Source organism: Homo sapiens, chromosome 14 (assembly GCF_000001405.40).
Source record: "Homo sapiens chromosome 14, GRCh38.p14 Primary Assembly".
Classification (NCBI taxonomy): Eukaryota; Metazoa; Chordata; class Mammalia; order Primates; family Hominidae; genus Homo; species Homo sapiens.
The window spans coordinates 105,347,277-105,364,734 of NC_000014.9; the positions used below are offsets into that span (position 1 = coordinate 105,347,277).

Here is a 17,458-nt window from a genome sequence, read left to right on the forward strand (position 1 = left end):
GCAGTCATACACAGGCTGTACCCATCCAGTGCTCCCGTTGCCTGGGGGCAGGGATGTGTGCTGGAAGGGCCTGGGACTGCCTTCCCACCGCCATGTCCACACCCAATGCCCAGGGGTGGAGACGGAAGCACGTGGCGGCCACTGTGGCACTGGTGGGTGGCTGCGTTCCATGGCCTGACTGTGTCTGGCGCCTGTTCTGGTGTTTTACATTCATACTTTGAGGGCCAAGCACCAGCCCAGGAGGTGGGTGCCACAAGTCCAGACTTCCCCAAGGGAAAGTGTCCCCAGCACAGACTCAGCCACTCAGAACTTGTTGGTCTTAGAGCCTGAAGCCGGGCAGGGCAGACAGTGCCATCCCTATCTGGATGGTGGTGCCTTCACCCTTCTGCTGTCCTGAGCAAGAAGAAAAATGAGCCAAGCTTCAAAGAGAGCTGTGCCAAAGTTTCCGGAAAGCTTGCCAGTGTGGGTGTTGCACCCCACACACCTTCAGGCATGGGTGGGTGGTGTGGGCATCTTCACTGGATGGATTTGGAGCCCTGGCGCGTGTACGGCAGATGCCCCGGGGAGATGGCATGTTCACACGGGGCAGCACTAGGCAGAGTGGAGGGTAGGGTCTACACCCCTCCACTCCTCAGCAACAGAGCCCTGGACACTGGGTGTGTCCTTCAGACTGTCCCTGGCGTCTCCAGCACTCCTGTGGCCTCAGGACGGAATGATGGAGGTGAAATGAACAGAAGGAAGGTTGGGGGAAAGCGTATCCCAGCTATGGGCAGGGGGTCCTGGGGTGGGCAGGATTTGGGGCGGCTGGGCCTGGGGCTGGATAGGGCCGCGGGAGAGGGGAGGCCTGTGCTCTCACAGCTGGGAGCTGGCTCAGGACTCTCAGATCTTCTCTTTGTGGCCTGTCATCCCTCCTACCTGCCTGTCCACAGGCCCACACTGAGTGAGTTCCATGGGAGGGAGGCTCACCCTCAGGGGCCTTCAGGAGATGGGACCTCTGGCCCGGCAGCCAACGGATGCTGAGGGGTGCCCACCATGTGCAGGGACAGCTGGGGTGATGTCTTGGAGCCCTGTGAGGTCCTGGGGCCGCCCAGGCAGTCACACCCCGCCCTGCACCCCAGGGTGCAGGCTCCCGGGGTGACACAGTGCTGGGACGGCACAGGGCCGCGTCCTGAGGAGAGGGCGGAGCCCCGAGGCTGAGCTGTGCCTTGCCTCACAGGTTGTGCAGCCTGACTCTGAAGAAGCTGGTGGTCTTCAAGGAGCTGGAGAAGGAGCTGATCTCCGTGGTGATCGCTGTCAAGATGCAGGTGAGGCCGCTTGTGACCCCGGCTGTGGCTGGGTGCTGTGTAGGCTTTCCATGTGCCTGGGAGACGAGTCAGGCGGTGCGCTACTGTGGGGCCTTGTGCCAAAACAGCGGGCAGCCCATGCCATCTCCGGGAGCCCGGGGGGCTGGGAATGACAGGATGCTCCTGGGTCCAGTCCTGTCCCGCACAAGGGAGGCAGGCCCGGCCTTCTGGGATGTGGAGGTCACATGCATGGGGCCTTCCCAGGGCAGAGCTGCCCTCGAGTCACCTCACAGTGATGGACGGGCCCCAAGCACCTGGAGCCAGGGCTTCCCTGCTGCACTCAGCACCCACTTCCTGCCCACTTTTTGTGGGGTGGAGGGCGTCGGTGGGAGAGGGGAGCAGGGCACTCTGGGAGGCGAGGGCCTAGCCAGAACTCCCAGCCCCTGGTGCCAGGGCCTCTCTCCTGACCCTAGTGGGTCCTGTGACCTCTCGAAGGCTTTGAACAAGTAGCGGTTCCAGAGGGGTCATGCTGGTGTCTTCCCCATGCCTGGCCCAGGCCCCGCCCCCTCCTTGGGGTAGAGCTGCCATGACCCTTGCAGCATGGCCTTTGCCCAGTGGCCCAGACAGGGAGGTGTCCCCGCCAACTGTCAGGGCCACCCCTGCCCTTTCAGGGTCATACGGTTCCAGGTGTGTGGCCTGTATAGGGCCACCGCCAGCGGGCTCTCCCTAGCCGGCACCACTCATGGGCAAGTCTCACCCATGTCCTCAGCATACAGGAGTGTCCTTCTGTGTGGCCGTCCAGCGTGACAGGGTGGGGTCTCAGTGGCTGTTGTGCTCCTGACCCCAGCCCATCAGCTCCTCGAGGATGGGGCCCTGCCCTTGGAGCCCATGTCCAAGGCCCCACACAGGTCCCTGCAGCTGGCCGGATTCTTGACACCTGCTGTGGCTCTGACACGGGGTCTCCGGGTCTCCCCGACCTGCAGAGTAGCACCTGAGCCTCGGCCAGTGTGGCTGAGGTCACCAGCCAAGCACTGGGTCTTGAGTGCGAGGAGGCCTGAGGCTTGTTGTCTGTCCCAGTCAATTGCCACTATGTGAAACCTACTGCATCTTAAATAAACGTCTGGAGAAACCCTTTTCCTCGCTGAACATGCTCGTGGATTAGCAGCAGCCTACATCTGCGGCGTGTGCTGGTGGCCAGGTTCCCCGGGTGGTGGGGCCTTGCCCCAGGAACTTCCAGGAGCGTGTGGCTAATAGCAGGACCCCAAGAACTTCCAGGAGTGCGTGGCTAATGCAGGACCCGGAGAACTTCCAGGAGAGCGTGGCTAATAGCAGGACCCCGAGAACTTCCAGGAGAGCGTGGCTAATGCAGGACCCCGAGAACTTCCAGGAGAGCGTGGCTAATAGCAGGACCCCGAGAACTTCCGGGAGCGCGTGGCTAATAGCAGGACCCCGAGAACTTCCGGGAGCGCGTGGCTAATAGCAGGACCCCAAGAACTTCCAGGAGTGCGTGGCTGATAGCAGGATGGAAGCGTCTCTCCGCCTGTCCTGCCCATGGGTGTGGCCATGCCCAGGGTGCCCAGTACCTGCTGCAGTCTGGCTGCGGGTCGTCCCTGGGGAACAGGGAGCTCTCTGTGGGCCATTGCCACCAGGCCGTGAGGCTGTGTCTGGACCTCTTGGCTTGGGGGGCAGGGGTCAGGGTCTCATTGGGTCTTCAGAGCAATGCAGAAAGGCATGAAGGCAAGAGTCGACCCCTCACTGACTTCTGAGTCTGGTGCTGTTGACCTCTAACCTCTGGCATGGGGCCCCACCCCACACTGACCCTGTTCCTTGGCCCCATTCCTTCCTCTGCCTGTCTCTGGTCCTGCCCCAGCCTGTGTCTTGACCGAGAGCTTGGCCCCAGGGCCCCTCAGAGCCCCACCTCTCCAGCCCCTCTGTGTAGCGCATGGACTGGCTGCCCATGCCCTCCCTGCCCACCCCAGCTCAGCAGCCACGTGGCCCTTGGCCTCCCTTGATCACCCCAGCTCCTCATCTGCTTCTCTTGGGGTGTCCTCTCCGCCCAGGCCCCCTGTGGGGGAAGCAGCCAGCCTGGCCCCGCAGCCCCACCTGCCCCTCAGCCTTCTCTGGCGTGCACCTTCGCCTCACTGGCTGGTGGCACACACTGTCCTTTTCCCGACACAGCTGGGTCCCTGCAGGTCCTCTGAGGGGGGAATGCTAAGAGGGACCCGACGCAGAGCACATTTGCAGGGAAACATCTCTGAAGGGTCAAGGGGAGGAGCAGGGAGAGTCCAGACCACAACGCAGGGGCAGCTGGGGAGAGGAGAGGGGACAGGAGGGCTGGCCGAGGAGAGCCGCGCTGCCTCTTGCCACGCTGCACGTGAGGCCCCAGCACAAGGGGAGGACCAGAGTCCGCCATGGACGTCTCATGGAGCCCGAGTACGGCCATGCGGGCCGCCCGCACCTGTCCTGAGGCCCCGCTGCTCCCACCCGAACCTGGGCTGGCCCCGGGCTCCCGTTGTCTGTCCTGGACCCCCGCCCGCCCTCCAGCCACCTGGCACCTCTCATCCACTGTGTCCCGCGCGCCGGCCTCCGGGAACCTTGTGCCTGGGACCCCGCAGCGGCTGCTTGTTTCTCGGGGCACGAGGTCCCCAAGCTCATCCTTGTTGGGATGGTCCCATTTAAAACAGCACTGCGATAAGCACGTTCAATCCATTAGGAATCTATTTTGATATAAAGTTTGCGGTTGGGGTCCTGTTGTCTTTCACGCAAATGACTCGTTATCCATTTAGCAGGTGCGTGTGATGTCTCCTGCTGGCCTGAAGCTCACTGGGTATGAACTGTGTTTTCAGGTGCTCATGCATTTCCTGCACCTACATCTAGGCTTCTACTACCCTCATTTTTGTGACAGCATCTCCGTATTTTAAGTATTGTATCTCTGTATGTTTTACTTTCTGAGAGGACCAGTCAGGCCTGATCATTCTTCTTTTTAGAAAATGCTTTAGGCCAGGTGCAGTGGCTCATGCCTAATCCCAGCACTGTGGGAGGCCGAGGAGGGTGGATTGCTTGAACTCAGGAGTTGGAGACCAGTCTGGGCAACATGACTAATCCTTGTCTCTTAACAAAATACAAAAATTATTGTATATTTTTTTGTGGTGGTACATGCCTGTAGTCCCAGGTGCTAGGGAGGCTGAGGCTGGAGGATTGCCTGAGCCTAGGAGGTCAAGGCTGTAGTGAGTTGAGATCGAGCCACTGCCCCACAGCCTGGGTGACAGAGACCCTGTCTCAAAAAATAAAAACAAAAAATAAAAAAATGCTTTAAGCCAAGCATGGAGGCACATGCCTGTAAGGCTGAGCTACTTAGGAGGCTGAGGCAGGAGGATTGCTTGAGCCCGGGAGCTCAAGTCCAGCCTGAGCAACACAGCGAGACCTGTCTCTCAAAACCAAAACCAGAAGAGGCTTGGTGCCTCCAGATTTGTTCTGCCAGACAGACTTGGGCAGCGCAGTCAGGTGCTGCTGCACCTGGCCGTGGAATCTGTTTTGTGATCGCGTTAACTTCAGCAGGAGCCGCTCCTGGTTTCTCTCTCATGTCTTAGGGCAGATTCCTGGAGGTGGAACCTGTGGGCCGAAGGGTCTCCATGTTTTTAAGGTTCTTGGGAAAGATGCCAGGGCACCTCTGAGAATTACCCCAGCCTGTGCCTACCACCCCCAGACTGCAGGGCTGCAATCCTGCCAGTTTTAGAGTGCAGGAGTCACGGTGTCTTTGCCTGGTTTCCTGCTGATATGCAGTCCTTTGAGCTAGAACAGGTCTTGCTTAATCACAGGGCTCCAAACGAATCCTGCGGTCCCATGAGATTGTGCTGCCCCCCAGTGGACAAGTGGAGACAGACCTGGCCCTGACCTTCTCCTTGCAGGTGAGTCTTTCACCAGTGGTGACGACACCCTCATCACTGTCCCCTGGGGAGACGGGCCCCCCTCATCACTGTCCCCTGGGGAGACGGGCCCCCCTCATCACTGTCCCCTGGGGTGATGGGCCCCCCTCATCAGTGTCCCCTGGGGAGACGGGCACGCCTCATCACCGTCCCCTGGGGAGACGGGCACCCCTCATCACCGTCCCCTGGGGCGACGGGCCCCGTCATCCCTGTCCCCTGGGGTGACGGGCCCCCCCATCACTATCCCCTGGGGTGACGGGCACCCCCATCACTGTACCCTGGGGAGACAGGCCCTCCCCATCACTGTTCCCTGGGGAGACGGGCCCCCCCATCACTGTCCCCTGGGGAGACGGGCCCCCCCATCAGTGTCCCCTGGGGAGACGGGCACGCCTCATCACTGTCCCCTGGGGTGACGGGCCCCCTCATCACTGTCCCCTGGGGAGATGGGCCCCCCTCATCAGTGTCCCCTGGGGAGACGGGCACCCCTCATCACTGTCCCCTGGGGTGACGGGCCCCCTCATCACTGTCCCCTGGGGAGACGGGCACCCCCATCACTGTCCCCTGGGGAGACGGGCACCCCCATCACTGTCCCCTGGGGTGACAGGCCCCCCCCATCACTGTCCCCTGGGGTGACGGGCACCCCCTCATCACTGTCCCCTGGGGAGACGGGCACCCCCATCACTGTCCCCTGGGGTGACGGGCCCCCCCAATCACTGTCCCCTGGGGTGATGGGCACCCCCTCATCACTGTCCCCTGGGGAGACGGGCACCCCCATCGCTGTCCCCTGGGGTGACGGGCCCCCCCATCACTGTCCCCTGGGGTGATGGGCCCCCTCGTCACTGTCCCCTGGGGAGACGGGCGCCCTCATCACTGTCCCCTGGGGTGATGGCCCCCCCTCATCACTGTCCCCTGGGGTGACGGCCCCCCCTCATCACTGTCCCCTGGGGTGATGGGCCCCCTCATCACTGTCCCCTGGGGTGAGAGCATTTGTCTCATCATTGCCATCAGTGTCCTGCGTTACTGCAGATCTTCTGTTGATTATGGTTTATTCTTAAATGATTAGAAGATTTGTATTTGTTTATTAGGTTGAGTTTTTCTTTGTTTTTTCTTTGTTTTTTGTTTGTTTGTTTGTTTTTGAGATGGAGTCTCTCCTTGTCACCCAGGCTGGTGCAGTCTTGGCTCACTGCAACCTCCACCTCCCGAGTTCAAGCGATTCTCCTGCTTCAGCCTCCCGAGCAGCTGGGATTACAGGCATGTGCCACCACGCCCGGCTATTTTTCGTATCTTTAGTTGAGACGGGGTTTCACCATGTCGGCCAGGCTGGTCTCGAACTCCTGACTGCATGATCTGCCTGCCTCGGCCTCTCAAAGTGCTGGGATTACAGGCGTGGGACACCATGCCCAGCCTAGTTTTTCATTCCTTATCTATGATAAAGAGAATATAAGGCCGGGTGTGGTGGCTCATGCCTGTAATCCCAGCACTTCGGGAGGCCGAGGTAGGTGGCAGGAGAATCGCTTGAACCCGGGAGGTGGAGGTTGGTTGCAGTGAGCTGAGATCATGCCATAGCACTCCAGCCTGGGGGACAGAGTGAGACTCCATCTCAAAAAAAAGAGAGAATATAATAACGAGGGCAAAAAAACACTTACTGAGTCAAGGCTATTTTGCTCTTCTATTTAAAAAGATAGGGGAAACTCAGAGTTCACAAGCAATCCCAGCTCTTCGGGAGGCTGAGGCAGGAGGATTGCTTGAACCCAGGAGGTGGAGGTGACAGTGAGCCCGGCTAATTTTTGTATTTTTGTAGAGATGGGGTTTTGCCATGTTGGCTAGGGTGGTCTCGAACTCCCTACCTCAGGTGATCCGCCCAGCTTGGCCTCCCAAAGTGCCGGGATTACAGGTGTGAGCCACCGCGCCTGGCCCAATGCTCCATGGTTCAGTGGGTTTTGATAGGCATGCTCAGGCATGTCAGCACCACCGCAGTTAGGGTGGTGAACAGCCCCATTTTCCCCTAAGTATTTAAACTGATTTTTATTTGTGAACTCTGAGTGTCTAAGAGATACCTGTGAACATCAGCTTGCTGGAGCCCTGCTGGACAGGGAGCCTGTGGTGAGACGTGCAGGCGAGTTGGGTGAACAGGGGGCCTCGGAGGGAGAGCCCTCCCCGCCCTGTGTGCCCCTCGCGGAAAAGCGTCCTGGGTCCCACCTTGCTGATTGCCTCAGGCACATGAGCCGCCACACTGTTTCCGAGTGTCCACAGGCGCGCTCGGCCATCCCGGACACTGCAGCACATAGTCCTTGTCCACCTGCCATGGCTGTTAGCGTGGCGCGGAGCCCTCAGGGCCTGAGCTCTGGCGACTGGCTCACTCTTGATTGTGTTGGGTAAAGGATGGGCTCTGGGGACCGGCATGCCACTGGGATGAACTTGGGGGCCCGTCTGTGGGTGCCCTTCCGATCTCATGGGCAGCAGGTTGGCCTGGTCGCAGGCTGCAGGGTGGCTGGGCCGTCAGAGGCCGTGATGCTGCCTGGGGCCCCGGTGCACCCTCAGCTGCCACTCGCACTTGTGCCCACAGTATCCTCACTTCTTGAAGAGGGAAGGCAACAAGCTTCAGATCATGCTGCAGCGCAGAAAGCGCTACAAGAACAGAACCATCCTGGGCTACAAGACGCTGGCCGCGGGCTCCATCAGCATGGCTGAGGTGAGTGCTCCGTCTGGCGTGGCCTGCGTCGGGCTGGCCACCTGGGTGCCAGAGCATTCGCCCGTGGGAGATGGAGATGTCTCTCCCGGGTCCAGATGTCCAGGGATCAGGTGAAAATGATGAGAGGAGCCTGGGCGGCCGGGCTCCGCCATAAGGGCCAGGTGCGGCCCCAGGTGGTGCTTCCTCTCTGACCTTCCCTTGCCGCCTAGCATGGCTCCCCGCATGCCTGCAGCCGCGCGCACTCCCCTCTAACGAGCCTGTCCTGCCCTTCAGTGGAGGCTGGGTTTTGGGTCAGGCTGCTCTGGAGTCCTTCCCATGGAGGAATCGCTGCTGTCCCCACACCACGGGTGCGTCCTGTGATGGGTTCGTGTCTGCATCCTGCTCAGCACGTGCTCTGGCCCAGGATTGGCTGAGCAGGAGCAGGACAGGTGTCAGTTCTGTGAAGGGGCTAGCGACAATACCCGAGCAGGGCGGGGGCAGCACCCAGAGGTCAGAGGGGTGGCTGGAGTTCCCTGGAGGGGAAAGAAGGGGAAGTACCTCAAAAGGAAAAGAAACAGCCAAGCAGCAGCCCACCTTGCTCCAGAGAACCCAGCGTTCCAAGGAGGCTGCAGTAGGGCGTGGGGGCCTGGGAGAAGACACCCCAGGCTGAGGCCTCGGACTTTCTCATGGACCCTTTCGGGGCTGCAAGATTGGCTCTGGGAGAAGGGGCAGCCCAGGGCCCCAGACCAGTTTGTCTCTTTTGCTTCAGAACTTTCCCCATCGTGGGGTTGTGTTCAGGGGTCCAGGGGCTGCGGGCGTGAGTGGTGCTTGGGGCATGTGAAGCTGGGTTGCTGCCTGCCTGGGGCCTGGGAAGGTCAGCCAGCGCAGCCCCTCATTGGGAGCCGGAGATGCCAGAGCCCCCCAGCCCCTCTTCTTCCCACTTTGTCCCCCTGCTCCTGGGGCTTGGGGCTGGGACAGTGGGGGTGCCCACTTGTAGCTGGTTCCCCCACACCCCCAGGCCCAGCCTGCAGGCCTCCTGTCTCCCAGGTCAAGCGCTAGGTCCCCCAGATCCTCACACACCCCCACTTACGCATCCAGGACAAGTGCCAAGTACTACTCTGGGCTCAGCCCTCCCTGCTACCCCAGGAGATGGGAGCGTGGAGGGTACAGGAAGCAGCAGTGGCGTCCCGAGGCCTCGCTTCTCCGTGCCGCCGCAGGGCCTCAGACAAGCTTTGCAGTCTTCCCGATTCCTTCGGCAAACCACGGACAGCACGGGTGGACCGGGCCTCCAGGCTGCACTTCCCAGGGCCCTGGGACCCCTCTGGTGGCCTGGAGCTGCCCATCATCCCAGCCTCCCTCCTGCAGGCTGAGCGATGGGTGAACAGGTAGCTCAGGGATGCTCTCTGGGCTGTGAGAGCCTCCTGGGAGCCACCGCTTGCTTCCTGTGGAGCAGGAGGGTCCAGGCACTGTGGGGAGGTCATGCAGGCTCTGTTTCCCATTAGCCATGCAGGCGAGGTCCTGCTGATCCCTGCCGGTCCCTGTGTTTCCCATTAGCCATGCAGGCGAGGTCCTGCTGATCCCTGCCGGTCCCTGTGTTTCCCATTAGCCATGCAGGCGAGGTCCTGCTGATCCCTGCCGGTCCCTGTGTTTCCCATTAGCCATGCAGGCGATGTCCTGCTGATCCCTGCCGGTCCCTGTGTTTCCCATTAGCCATTCAGGCGATGTCCTGCTGATCCCTGCTGGTCCCTGTGTTTCCCATTAGCCATGCAGGCGATGTCCTGCTGATCCCTGCCGGTCCCTGTGTTTCCCATTAGCCATGCAGGCGATGTCCTGCTGATCCCTGCTGGTCCCTGTGTAGCCATGCAGGTGATGTCCTGCTGATCCCTGCCGGTCCCTGTGAGCTCCTGCCCCAGGCTGCTCCGCCCACATCTCTCAGTCTGCACCCCAGTGCCCCAGGCGGCTCCTCCCAGCCCCTCTCAGCACTGGTGCTTCTGTGTTTGACGTCCTTGCCCTGAATGCTGGCCTCTGCTCCCAGGCCCCTCCCTCACCTGTCCTCCCAGCCTTGGGCTGTCCCCTCCTGATCCCCGGGGAGAGGCTGGAGCAACCTTCCCCCACCCCAGGTCACACCAGCCACATCGTCTGCTGCTTGAAATCCCATCATCTGTTCTTCACTCTTGGCAGAAAAGCCCCACCCCTGGATGTAGTTCCAGTGCCCTGCCCCTGAGCCTGTGGCCCCCACCCCAAGGCTCCCTCGCCCTGCACCTGTGGCTTCCAAAGCCGAGGTCATCTGACTGCTCCTCGCTCTCCCCTCCAGCATCTCCTCCAGGCCCTCGGGGCATCCTTCCACCTTCCACTGGCAGCCTGGTCCCAGAACCTAGTTGGGTCCTCCCATGTGTCCCCGAGCACCAGGGCGGTTCATGGGCTCCCTGTGTCCTGCCACCTTTTGGGGCTGGTTCCCACCTGTGAGCGTTGCTGGCTTGTTGAGAGTATGAGCACGGGAGATTGCGGAGGCGGGACAGCCCCGAGGGCACAGACGGACACAGGTGGCAGAGGTGGGGGGCTCTCACCAGCTGGGCTCAGGCAGCTGTGCCATGGGGGCTTGCTGGCTCCGAGACTGCACGCCTGAGACGGGGGTGAGGGCATGGGTGCTGCCATAGGGACTGTCGTGAGAGTGGGGTGTCGGTGAGGCTGGCGCCATGCATTTGAGAGTAGTGCTCGGCGGTGGGGAAGGGTCCTTGAGGGCACAGGGTGGGGTGAGGCGGGCTGTTGGGCGGACTCGAGGCCAGGGCTGAGAGTGTGGTGGGAGAGGATGTGGGGGGCACCTGCCCAGGACCTCCAGGCTGTGGGGAGACCAGGAGGCGATGGCTGTGGGGACACAGGTGTCATCTCCCTTCAAATGGGTGCACACGCAGGGGGCAGGAGGGGCTGGGAGCAGCCTGGGCCCCTGCCACACCATAGCTCTGCCCTCACCTGGCACTCATTCTGTGTGAGCTGAGGCCCAGAGCCCTGGACTTACTCTGAGGCTGAGGAAGTGGAGTCCAAGGTGGCCCAGGGTAGGGGCCGGGCCTCATGGGTGCCAGGAGCTGGACGCCGGCGTGGGGTGGCTTAGGTCTGCAGGCTGACCAGCAGTTCTGGCTGGGACCATCAGGAGTGACCGCAGCCCCAGGGCCTGCTGGGCACGCGCCTCTGCCTGCCACTTCTCAGGAAGCTTGAGCTGACTGCAGGTGGTCCCTCTCAGAGGCAGCTCCGCAGAGGCAGGTGTGCGGTGGGGGCAGACGTGGGGCCTTCTCCTGTGGTGTGGCTCTCAGAACTCACCCCAGCACCCGTAGAGGGAGTGTGTAGGGGTGGGCGTTCGTGTGGCCAGACCACCCTGGGGCTGCAGCCTGGGAGACGCAGGCATGCCAGCTGGTGGCCATTGTCTGAGGCTGGGGCCTGTGGGCTCCCCGACAAGACAGGAAGGTTGACAGACCCATGACCAGGCGAAGGGGTGACCTGGGAGTGCGGTGGTGGCTGAGGGAGCAGCCATGCTTCTTTGCACAGCCGGACTCCTCTTGTGGCCTCGCCACAAGCTGCACATGCCACTGGGGCCAGGTCCAGCCCAAGGGGACCTGTGAGGGGCGGGCGGCTCATGGTGGGACACAGGAAGACCTCAGGGTAAGGACAGCGCGGGAGCGTCACCCTGACCGTTTGCATGCTGGATTCCCTTTAGTTTCTCTCTATGAGTGTCTGCACAGCCACAGGCTGCTGATGACAGCCCAGTCAGGTGTGGGCTGCATATCAATGGGTGGCCCCGTGAGAATATGATGGCACTGGACACTTCCTATCTCCTGATGACATGGTAGCCATCGTAACACCATAGCACAGTTACTTTATTCCTGTGTGAACTCAGTGTGGCCCAGGTGTCCAGGGCCTGGTCACACACACGTCCATCCCTACACGGCGGTGCATGGCGACCTCCCAGGCCTTCGCATCCACACACACGTCCACCCCTACGCGGCGGTGCGTGGTGACCTCCCAGGCCTTCGCATTACTCACTCACCCACCAGCTTGTCCAGAGCCACCTCCAGCCCCGCAGGCTCTGCCATCGTCAGTGCCCTATTCACAGGCACCACTTAATGTCTTTTATACTTTATTTTTACTGTGCTTTTTTTTTTTTGCTTTTTATTTTTAAATTTTTTTCGTGATGTGGTTTCACTTTTATAGTGCAGTGGCGCGATCTCAGTTCACTGCAACCTCCACCTCCCGGGTTCAAGTGATTCTCCTTCCTCCGCCTCCCGAGTGGTTGGGATTACAGGTGCTCATCACCACACCCAACTAATTTTTTTATTTTTAGTGGAGACAGGGTTTCACCCTGTTGTCCAGGCTGGTCTTGAACTCCTGACCTCAAGTGATCTGTCTATCTGGGCCTCCCAAAGTGTTGGTATTTCTTTCTTTTTTTTTTTTTTTTTTTTTTGAGACAGAATCTCGCTCTGTCGCCCAGGCTGGAGTGCAGTGCCGCAATCTCAGCTCACTGCAACCTCCACCTCCCAGGTTCACGCCATTCTCCTGCCTCAGCCTCCCGAGTAGCTGGGACTACAGGCGCCCGCCACTACGCCTGGCTAATTTTCTGTATTTTTAGTAGAGACGGGGTTTCACCGTGTTAGCCAAGATGGTCTCGATCTCCTGACCTCGCGATCCGCCCACCTTGGTCTCCCAAAGTGCTGGGATTACAGGCGTGAGCCACTGTACCCGGCCAAGTGTTGGTATTTCAAGCATGAGCCACCGTGCCCAGCCTACTTTTTCTGTGTTTAAATGTGTTTAGACACATAAATACTTACCATCTGTAACAATTGCCTACAGTATTCAGTACAGTAACATGCTTTACAGGTCTGTGGCCTAGGAGCAGGAGGCTGTCTCTCATATAGGCTGACCTTGAAGATATTGTGTGTTCAGTTCTAGGCCACCCCAATAAAAACGGATATTGAAATAAAGTGAGTCACACAAATTTCGTGGTTTTTCAGTGCATATAAAAGTTATGTTTACACTGTACTGTAGTCTGTTAAGTGTGCAATAGCATTACGTCAAAAAATATATACATACATTAATTTTAAAATATTGCTAAAGCTGGGTGCGGTGGCTCATGCCTGTAATCCCAGCACTTTGGGAGGCCAAGGCGGGCGTATCACCTGAGGTCAGGTGTTCGAAACCAGCCTGGCCAATATGGTGAAATGTCGTCTCTACTAAAAATACAAAAAAAAATTAGCCGGGCGTCGTGGCTCACACCTGTAATCCCAGCTACTAGGGAGGGGAGGCAGGAGAATCACTTTAACCCGGGAGGCGGAGGTTGCAGTGAGCCGAGATCACGCCACTGCATTCTAGCCTGGGTGACAGAGTAAGACTTCCTCTCAAAAAAAAAAAAAAAAGAAAAGAAAAAGCTAACAATCATCTGAGCCTTCGGGGAGTTGTAACCCTTTGGCTGGTGGGGGTCCTTAGTGTGGGTGGGTGCTGACCGGTCAGAGTGTTGGTTGCTGAAGGCTAGGGTGCCTGTGGCAATTTCTTAAATAAAACAAGAAAGAAGTTTCCTGCATACTTGACTCTTCTTTTCGCAGAATAGTTCCCTGTCGCATGCGGTGCTGTTTGGTACCATGTTACCCACCATTATTTCAGAATTGGGGTCAGTCCTCTCAAACCCCGTTGCTGCGTTACTAACCGAGACGGTGGACTCTCCCAAGTCCTGTGTTGTCACTCCGCAGTGTTCACAGCATCCTCACCAGGAGCAGATTCCATCTTAAGAAACCACTTTCGTTGCTCATCCATGAGAAGCCACTTCTTATCAGCTGAAGTTTCTTCATGAGACTGCAGCAATTCAGTCAGTCCTCAGGCTCTGCTTCTAATCCCAGTCCTCTTGCTATTTCCACCACATGTGCACTTCCTTCCTGCACTGAAGCCTTGAGCCCTCAAAGTCATCCACGAGAGAGTTGGAATCCACTTCTCCCAAATTCCTGTCAATGCTGATATCTCAACTTTTTCCCATGAATCACAGATGTTCTTCATGGCATCAAGAATGGTGAATCCAGGCCACGCGCAGTGGCTCACACCTGTCATCCCAGCACTTTGGGAGGCCAAGGTGGGCGGATCATTTGAGGTCAGGAGTTCTAAACCAGCCTGGCCAATATGGTGAAACGCTGTCTCTGCTAAAAATACAAAAAAAGAAAAAAAGGCTGGGCACGGTGGCTCACACCTGTAATCCCAGCACTTTGGCAGGCCAGGGCGGGTGGATTACCTGAGGTCAGGAGTTTGAGACCAGCCTGGCCAACATGGTGAAACCTTGTCTCTACTAAAAGTACAACAATTAGCCAGGTGTGGTAGAGGACACCTGTAATTCCAGCTACTCAGTAGGCTGAGACAGAAGAATCGGTTGAACCTGGGAGGCGGAGGTTGCAGTGAGCTGAGATTGCACCAGTGCATTCCAGCCTGGGTGACAAGAGTGAGACTCCGTCTCAAAACAAACAAACAAACAAAAAAATTAGTGGGCCGGGTGCAATGGCTCACGCCGGTAATCCCAGCACTTTGGGAGGCCAAGGCGGGCAGGTCACCTGAGGTCGGGAGCTCGAGACCAGCCTGACCAACATGGAGAAACCCCGTCTCTACTAAAAATACAAAATTAGCTGGGTGTGGTGGCACATGCCTGTAATTCCAGCTACTCAGGAGGCTGAGGCAGGAGAATCGCTTGAACCCAGGAGGCGGAAATTGCAATGAGCCAAGATCACGACATTGCACTCCAGCCTGGGCGCCAAGAGTGAGACTTCATCTCAAACAAACAAACAAAAAAAACGAATTAGTGGAGTGTGGTGGCAGGCACCTAAAGTCCCAGCTACTCGGGAGGCTGAGGCAGGAGAATTGCTTGAACCTGGGAAGTGGAGGTTGTAGTGAGCGAGATCGCACCATTGCACTCCAGCCTGGGCAACAAGAGTTAGAATCTGTCTCAAAAAAAAAGAATGGGCCAGGTGTGGTGGCTCACGCCTGTCATCCCAGCACTTTGGGAGGCCACGGTGGGCGGATCACGAGGTCAGGAGATCAAGACCATCCTGGCTAACACAGTGAAACACCGTCTCTACTGAAAATATAAAAAATTAGCTGGGCGTGGTGGCGGGCGCCTGTAGTCCCAGCTACTCGGGAGGCTGAGGCAGGAGAATGGTGTGAACCTGGAGGTGGAGCTTGCAGTGAGCCGAGATCGCGCCACTGCACTCCAGCCTGGGCGACAGAGCGAGACTCCGTCTCAAAAAAAAAAAAAAGAAAAGAAAAAAAAAGAATGGTGAGTCATTTCCAGGGGGTTTCCAATTTACCTTGCCCAGATCCATCAGAGGAATCACTGTCTATGGCAGCTATAGCCTTATGAATGAAATACATTTTTTTTAAATAATAAGACTTGAGGCCAGGCGCAGTGGCTCACACCTGTAATCCCAGCACTTTGGGAGGTCAAGGCAGGTGGATCATCTGAGGTCAGGAGTTCAAGACCAGCCTGACCAACATGTTGAAATGCCATCTCTGCTAAAAATATAAAAATTAGCCAGGCGTGGTGGCGGGCCCCTGTAATCCCAGCTACTCAGGAGGCTGAGGCAGGAGAATCGCTTGAACCTGGGAGGCAGAGGTTGTAGTGAGCCAAGATCGCGTCATTGCACTCCAGCCTGGGCAACAGAGCGAAACTCCAACTCAAATAATAATAAGACTTGAAAGTTGAAATGACTCCTTGATGCATGGGCTGCCTGATGGATGTCGTGTGAGCAGCCATGAAAACAACATTCGTCTCCTGCGAGTCTCCAGCAGAGCTCTTGGGTGACCAGGTCATGTCAATGAGCAGTCATATTTTGAAAGGAACCTTTTTTTTCCCAAGCAATAGGTCTCATAGTGGGCTTAAAACATTCAGCCAATTGTGCTGTAAACAGATGTGCTGTCATCCAGGCTTTGTTGTTCCATTTTCAGAACACAGACAGTCGACTTTGCATAATTCTTAAGGGCCCTAGGATTTCAGGAATGGTAAATGAGCACTGGCTTCAACTTAAAGTCACCAGCTGCCTTCACTCCTAACAAGAGAGGCAGCCTGTCCTTTGAAGCTTTGAGGCCAGGCATCGACTTCTCCTCTCTAGCTATGAAAGTCCTAGATGGCATCTTCTTCCAATGGAAGGCTGTGTCTTCTACGTTGAAAATCTGTTGTTTAGTGTTAGCCACCTTCGTCAAGATCTGAACTAGACCTTCTAGAGAACTCGCTGCAGCTTCTCCGTCAGCACTTGCCGCTTCACCTTGCATTTCTGTTATGGAGACGGCTGCTTTACTAAAACCTCATGAACCAACTTCTGCCAGCTCCAAACTTCTTCTGCAGCCTCCTCGCCTCTCTCAGCCTTCACAGAGGTGAAGGGAGTCAGGGCCTTGCTCCGGATGAGGCTTTGGCTTAAAGGAGTGTTGTCTGGTTCAATCTTCATCCCGGCCACTCACTCTCTCCACACCGTCACTGAGGCTGCTCTGCTGATTCTCCTTCCTGTGTTCGCTGGAGCAGCGATTTTCCTTTCCCTCAGGAGCTTTCTCTTTGCATTCACTGCTTGGTGATTTAGTATAAGGGGCCTCGCCCTCACCCTGTCTCGGCTCTGACGTGCCTTCTTCACTAAACTCAGTCATTTCTAGGTTCTCATTGAAAGAGATGTGCAACCCCTCCTTTCACTTGAACACTTAGGGGCCCGTAGAGTTAGTAATTGGCCTAATTTCCATATTATTGTGTCTCGGAAGAGAGAGGCCACAGGAGAGACAGACATGGGAATGGCCGGTGGGCTGAGCAGTCAGACGCACACACCTACTGATTAAGTTCACTGTCTTACATGGGTGATGTTCGTGGTGCCCCAGAGCAGTTGTGATAGTCACACCGTAGCTCACTGATCACAGATCACCATACAGATATAATAATAGTGAAGAAGTTTGAAATATTGGGAGAATTACCAAAATGTGACACAGACACCAAGTGAACACGTGCTGTTGGAAAAGTGGCGCTGATAGACTTGCTTGATGCAGGGTTGCCAAAAGCCTTCACTGTAAAAAACAGAAGATCAGCAAAGTGCAGCAGAGCAGAGTGAGGGCTGCAGCCCGGGTGCGCGGTGGGCGGCGGCCTGCGGGTGTGGTGGGCGTCCCGGGTGCGCGGTGGGCGGCGGCCCGGGGGTGTGGTGGGCGGTGTCCCGGGTGCACGGTGGGCGTCCCGGGTGCGCGGTGGGCGGTGTCCCGGGTGCGCGGTGGGCGGTGTCCCGGGTGCGCGGTGGGCGGCGTCCCGGGTGCGCGGTGGGCGGCGTCCCGGGTGCGCGGTGGGTGGCGGCCCGGGTGCGCGGTGGGCGGTGGCCTGGGTGCGCGGTGGGCGGCACCATCCAGGCTTGCTGCGATGTTGGCAAGAGGACGAGGTCTCCTCACCATGCATGTCTCAGAACATACCTCTGTCGTTACGTGGTGCATGACTGTTTTTGTAAAATTTTTATTGTAGTATTTGTACAATTAAGTGTGACATCCTGAGCAATTTTCTTTTCTTTTTTTTTTTTTTTTTTTGAGACGGGGTCTTACTTTGC

At 57.7% G+C, this 17,458-nt stretch overlaps 1 protein-coding gene across 16 annotated transcripts in view, besides 2 other annotated features; it reads left to right on the plus strand.

Moving 5' to 3' along the window:
* Positions 1–17,458, plus strand: part of PACS2 (phosphofurin acidic cluster sorting protein 2) — a 97,374-nt gene that overhangs the window by 46,503 nt on the left and 33,413 nt on the right. For all 16 annotated transcript variants that reach the window (XM_017021112.3, XM_017021111.3, NM_001243127.3 and 13 more), the window contains exons 2-4: positions 1,217–1,304; positions 5,102–5,191; positions 7,776–7,901. In XM_017021112.3, coding sequence (XP_016876601.1) covers positions 1,299–1,304; positions 5,102–5,191; positions 7,776–7,901 — 222 coding nt within the window. In that variant the 5' untranslated portion in view covers positions 1,217–1,298. The remainder of the gene's footprint in view (positions 1–1,216; positions 1,305–5,101; positions 5,192–7,775; positions 7,902–17,458) is intronic.
* Positions 5,447–5,976: an enhancer, noted in NCBI's record as "H3K4me1 hESC enhancer chr14:105819060-105819589 (GRCh37/hg19 assembly coordinates)". NCBI's record gives its function as "activates a minimal SCP1, AML or CMV promoter by ChIP-STARR-seq in naive H9 embryonic stem cells {active_cell/tissue: H9 hESC(naive)}" and the evidence as "EXISTENCE:reporter gene assay evidence [ECO:0000049][PMID:30033119]".
* Positions 17,101–17,290: a silencer, noted in NCBI's record as "silent region_6230". NCBI's record gives its function as "represses an Ori minimal core promoter by ATAC-STARR-seq in GM12878 lymphoblastoid cells {active_cell/tissue: GM12878}" and the evidence as "EXISTENCE:reporter gene assay evidence [ECO:0000049][PMID:35858748]".